Source organism: Homo sapiens, chromosome 10 (assembly GCF_000001405.40).
Source record: "Homo sapiens chromosome 10, GRCh38.p14 Primary Assembly".
In the NCBI taxonomy this organism is placed as follows: Eukaryota; Metazoa; Chordata; class Mammalia; order Primates; family Hominidae; genus Homo; species Homo sapiens.
In genome coordinates, this window is record NC_000010.11 from 31,272,804 (window position 1) to 31,279,312 (window position 6,509).

Consider the following 6,509-nt stretch of genomic DNA (forward strand, 5'->3'; position numbering starts at 1 on the left):
TATTTCCAACTTACAATATTAAAACTGGATAAACTATCAGTTAATCTTGATTGTTATAGGATATTCAAAGGCTCAAAATTTTACCTCCTATACCCTCTCTTAGAAAAATACTGGAGAATGTGCTCCAGAAAAAAAGAGGAAGTAAATGAAGAAACAGGAATACTTGAGATACAGGAAATAGAATATGTAGCAAACTAAGAAAATTCCCAGGAGATCATGAAGGAATGTTCCAGAATGACAGCTGTGCAGCCGCCCTAAATAGCACATTCATATTTGACCAAGTGGGGCAAAAGCTGTAGGAAAGAAATCTCCAGAGAGGGGGAAAATGGAACTGATTGATCTGCTGTCTTTAGATTTGGGGAAAGTTATTTTTAGTTGTTTGACAGTTGTTTAATGTTACAGCATTAGAAAAAAATATATACTGATAGATACAAAGAAACTAAGCAAATAAAAATATAAAGAAAGCAATTATTAATTCTAGGAAGAATAAAAATTGTACAAAAAGTAAACAATCGAAGTATACTAACTGAAGGAGAATAAAAAATATTTACCTAGCCTTACTAACATAAACAATGACTGCTGTTTTTGCCAAAAACTAAAATCTAACTGTATTGGGCAGATGGGATGTGGAAGTGGAAGGTAGGGCATAAGACAATGGCAGCCTCACCTACCATAATATGAAGCTTACATTGTCTAAAATTCATAAACCAAGAGACTATACTGTTAAGTATTACCTAAAATGTGGAGAAACAGCTGAAATAACTGAACATGGCTGCTGCTGGGTAGTCTGTTTGGGAAGTAAAGAGGGATGGGAGGAGGACTGTTGGTTTTCAACAATAAGGCTTTTAGATTTTTTAATTTTAAAATATATACAGGCCAGACGCAGTAGCTCACGCATGTAATCCCAGCGCTTTGGGAAGCCAAGGTTGGAGGATCACTTGAGATCAGGAGTTCAAGACTAGCCTGGCCAATATGGTGAAATCCCATTTCTACTAAAAATACAAAAATTAGCCTGGCATGGTGGCATGCACTTATAATCCCAGCTACTGGGGAGGCTGAGGACTACAGAGTCAGAATTGCTTAAACCCAGAGGCAGAGGTTGCAGTGAGCTGAGATCGCGCCACTGTACTCTATCCTGGGTGACAGAGTGAGACTCTGTCTCATAAATAAATAAATAAATAAATAAATAAATAAATAAATAAAGCAATGGGAAGGGAAATATTTAAGGCAGCAAATAAATCATTTTTTAAAAAATTATGTGTTACTGATTTGAAATGAGTTTCTAAAAAGATTTATTCTTTCTCTTTGAGCCTTAGAAAGGAAACCCATGAAAACATGTGCCTAAAAGAGAGGAAAGAACTAATATGTTTTGAGGAGGAAACAGAACATTTCCAAACAGGCTGAAAGCTCTTCCTGGTGTGCATAACAGGGACTCACAGGCTGGGGGTCTGTCGTCTTCTTTGGGACAGGAGAGGATTTAGGGCAAATGAAGAACATGGAGAAAGAAAAATGTAGGGTTCCTTCTTTCTTAATTGGAGACAGGTTTGTCTCTGAATTAACACTCCTTTCCTTCTTCTATACTTTAATAACTATTTGTGCTACATATGTTTCCGAGTGTTCTGAGTTTCTGGGTAAAATGATATTTAAAGCCTTATTTCCATTTGTCCCATGCATTGTGAAATTTGAAGGCTTGTGCACCACTATGGAAACCATGAGTCACGGGTAGACTGTTCTGAAGCAATGGTTGCCATTTTAATATCACCATTATTTATGGTACCAGAAGTTTGAAGTCCCTTCAACTATGAGAAAAGAAGAACAATACACTAGCTTTTCTGTAAGACAAATACAGACACTGACTGTTTATTCCACAATTTATACAGCCATTTATTGTTTAATCATTTCTAATTATATTAACAAGAATTCTAGGAATAAAGGAGCCCTACTCTAGAGTATTATTTTCTCTTAAGTTCTAAGTCTGGGTTTCAGCTTCTGTCCTCTGAAGTGGAAGAGCAAGGCATGAGTCTTTCCTAAAGTTCTCCTCACCCAGCTTGTTTTACCATTGCTTTTTACCAGCCAGCTGGCTCTGTTGGCTCATCTCTTCCAATGTCCTGCTGGGGCTAACCACTGCAAAGGGTACCACATAAATTAACTATTTTTTGTAAGAGACAGGGTCTTGCTCTGTGACCCAAGCTGGAGCGCAGTGGTGCGATCATAGCTTACTGCAGCCTCAACCTCCTGGGCTCAAGGGATCCTCTTGTCTTAGCCTCCTGAGTAGCTGGGACTACAGGCATTCACCACTATGCCCAGTTAAAAAAAATTTTTTTTAGATTTAGGGTCTTGCTATGTTGTCCAGGCTGATCTTGAACTTCCAGCCTCAAGTAATCCTCCCCTCCTTTGCCTCCCAGTGTGCTGGGAATACAGGGATGAGCCACCACATCTGATCACTAATTTTAGTTTAATGTGGTTGAAAATAAACATGAACACAGAAAGTGTATAAAATGTATTTCCTTTATATACACACCCATACATGCACATACTCTGTGGTATACACTTCTGCATTAGAAAACCTCTGGTTCCAAGTAAAGAAGCTTGGATTAAATTTTGTAAATTCAGTTTAGCATGTAATCTACATGGTTGAGTCATGAATAAGACCCAGGCCATGTTCTAACAGAGAACTGGTTTTTACGAAAACAGGCAGTGGTCCTCACTTGTCGTAGAGGATGCTCAGGCAATTTGGTCCATTTTATCATTTATACATAGGAAGACTTCAGTAATAAAATGATAGAAAAAGCATATTCATTCCACAAATATTTGTGAGCACCATCTTCGAGGTGCTGAGGATTCAGTAAGAAGCCAAAATGTACAGAAAGCCCTACCCTCCTGAAAGCTACCTTGGGGTGGAAGATGACATGAGAAGGAGAGTCGTTGGAAAAGCAGATTTCCTTTTATAGAAATGTCCCGGCGAGCCAATTTGTAAGATGCTTCTCATAAAATGTCAAAAATGTATACAGATATTTGCTAAGTAAAATATTTCTTGATTTAGAAAACTTCTGGTTAGAGATTGGTTAACTTTTACAGTTAAAATTTTATTGAAGTATAATAAAATCCTGTTATTCAGCAACTCAACTATACTATAGATTTGATTCTGGTGCAAACACATGCAGTGTTTACATTTAACTTCTTACACCATGGAGAACCTACAAATACAGTGCTGTACCCCAATTCTTATATTGTAACATGGTTCTACTTAGATGTAGCAAGATCTCTGTTTCTGTAACATGGGTTTTATATAATTTCAGCGCTAATGTCTGAGATTAATCAACTACTATCAGTCTAAGGAAGTGTTATACTTACTACATGAAAATCCTCTACTTTCCCCACACAGCAGCAGTGATAATAGCAAGAAATAGAACAATAAACCCAGAGTCAGAATAATCATTCCAATTTTTTAAATGGGGCAAAGATGTGGGAAAAGATGGGTGAAAAACTACCCAATTAATTCAGTTGACATGTTATACACAGCATTACTACTGTGCCTCTTCTTGTAAGGCAAATGGCAACCAGGATAAGAAGGCGGAAGCAGGGGCTGTCAGGGAGTCACAGTCAATATGGAAGAGGCCCCAGCATGACAAGTTTCGGAATCTATGTTCCTCCTGAGTTGCTCATCAACTAAGGATTAAAACAGCTAGTGGAATATGGTTAGGCTATTTTTTTTGTGTTTTGTTTTAATCAAGGCAGAGAATAGAGAAAGTTACTTATAGTATGGTACTAAAATAAAAGACCCATGGGTGAGGCAGTGGCTTTTAAATTTTGGTGTGCATCAGAATCACCCAGAGGCTTGTTAAAACACAGATGGTTGGGCCCCCAGAGTTTCTGATGCAGTAGATCAGGTGTGGGGCCTGAGAATGTTTTTCTAACAATTTCCAGGTGATGCTGGTACTGATAGTCGAGGGATCATATTTTGACAACCACTTGGGTGAGTAGATATACAAAAAAAGATGCAAAAAAAGGGAGGAGGAGGTGATAGGCAGAATTCTATGATGATCCCTGTTATCTGCGTGTCCTTCCCCTTGAGCACAGGGGAACCTGTAAACATGATGGCATATCACTATCACAATTAGGTTAATAATAAGTTGACTTTGTAAAATCAAAAGAGAGATTATCCTGGTTGGGTCCTATCTAATTATGTGAGCCTTTAAAGAAGCGTGACAAGTCAGACGCCAATCCAGCTGGCTTGGAAGAAAATAAATATCCATGTTGTGAACTGCCTTGGGGAGCCATATGTCACCTATATTTAACTGACCAAGTATTTATTAACCGACTAGTGTTTGCAAGATTCTGTTGGGCCCAGCTGTGGAGTTAAAAAAAGTTCACAGTTCTTTTCCTCAAAAAGCTGACTATCTACTAAGAAGGATAACATAAGAACACAAACAATTTTTCTTCAAGGCAGATTACACTAAAAGTCCTAGGAGAGACATACGCAAAGTGTTATAACATTTTAAGGAAGAACAGGTCACATCTGGCTAGGAATGGAAATATTTAATAAAGAGGCATGGGAGAAAGTATTAAAAAATAAGATTACCATAGGCAGAGAGATAGGAAAGAGAAGAGCAGAGGGGTTGGATAAAACGGAATCATATATTCCAGAGAGAGAGATCAAATAGACTAAGGCTTGCAGGTATGAAAAATACAGAGCATATTTGTGGAATTGCAAGTAGTCTAGTATGGCTACAGTACCAAAACCAGTGGTGGAGCAGGAGGAGGATAGGACCAGAAAAGTCACTAGTAAGGGTTTCTAAATGTTAAGGGAGGATCAGTGTTCAGGAGAAGCAAGCAGGAGTGGGTGATGGGGCCTGTCCATAGAAGTTAGCGGGACTAGAATTCACTGACTGGACATTAAGTTGATGATTTACCAAACTCAAATCCTTCTTTTCTGCTAACAGGTCCAGGATTGCTCCTAGAGCCTTATAGTGCCTTGACTTTATTTATTTATTTATTCTTATTTTTTGAAACAGAGTCTCACTCTGTGGCCCAGGTTGGAGTGCAGCAGCACAGTCTCAGCTCACTGTAAGCTTTGCCTCCCAGGTTCAGATGATTCTCCTGCCTCAGCCTCCCAAGTAGCTGGAATTACAGTCATGTGTCACCACACCCGGCTAATTTTTGTGTTTTTAGTAGAGACGATGTTTTACCATGTTGGCCAGGCTGGTCTTGAACTCCTGACCTCAGGTGATCCACGCGCCTTGGACTCACAAAGTGCTGGGATTACAGGCGTGAGCCACAGTGCCCAGCCAGTACCTTCACTTTATACATGTGTGTTTGGGAATATTAAGAATAGCAGCGATGGACCGGGCGCAGTGGCTCACACCTGTAATCCCAGCACTTTGGGAGGCTGAGGCCGGTGGATCACCTGAGGTCGGGAGTTTGAGACCAGCATGACCAACATGGAGAAACCCCGTCTCGACTAAAAATACAAAATTAGTCAGATGTGGTGGTGCATGTCTGTAATCCCAGCTACTTGGGAGGCTGTGGCAGGAGAATTGTTTGAACCCGGGAGGTGGAGGTTGCAGTGAGCTGAGATGGAGCCATTGCACTCCAGCCTGGGCCACAATAGCGAAACTCCACCTCAAAAAAAAAAAAAAAAAATAGCAGTGATATGAGGCACAGGACTCCATTGTACTTAGAAAGATAACCTTCATGGCAAATTGGAAATCTCCTCTGTATTTCTCTTGCTGTTTATGTGTACTAAAAACAGCTTATCATAACTTTATCACTTACACATAAATTTAATGTGGTATCTATATCCCCATAGCTTATCTTCACTGCCAATTTGGTGTTCATTGAGAGGGGATTTTTATTTCCTTGGCTTTCCTTTTCTAAGGACAGCAAATTCTCATACTGCTTTTCCTATGCTGGTCATTAGAAATATGGCTATCTCTATGAGTCAGCAGAATTCCTTATCTTTCTGGAACTGGTCAGATGTTTCCCTGTCCCTAATCCTAGGAAGTATCACATGGAGGAAAAGAGATAATGTGTTTTCTGTATGTTGAGTAGCACCTCCTTCCTGTAACATAGATTTTCTTACCTTGTTTATAATTTCACAGACTTTTCTCGAAAGGCCTTGTTACAATTGCAAACATTAAAAATATTATAATCTCTCTTTAAGCATCACTTCTAGAATTCTTCTAAATTACATATAACGTATCTGACAGTAACTCAGTATTTACTAGTGTTACTGACCTTACTCAGCAATACGTGGAAAACTGGGCTGTCATAAAACATGGCTTAATTGCAAAGTTTAATGTGAAAAATCAACTTCCATTTTAGGATATGATAGAGGAGCTTAGCATACACCAATGCACCCATGGAGAAAACACAGAAAAAGCTAATGAGATACACAAAATATCTGTTCCAGTGCATCAGTGGTTTGCTTCCTGAAGCAACCAGGAAGAAGAGAGCCCAAGATTGTGAAGATTCTGGAGAAGAGACAACAGTGGGGAGACTAGCTTGGA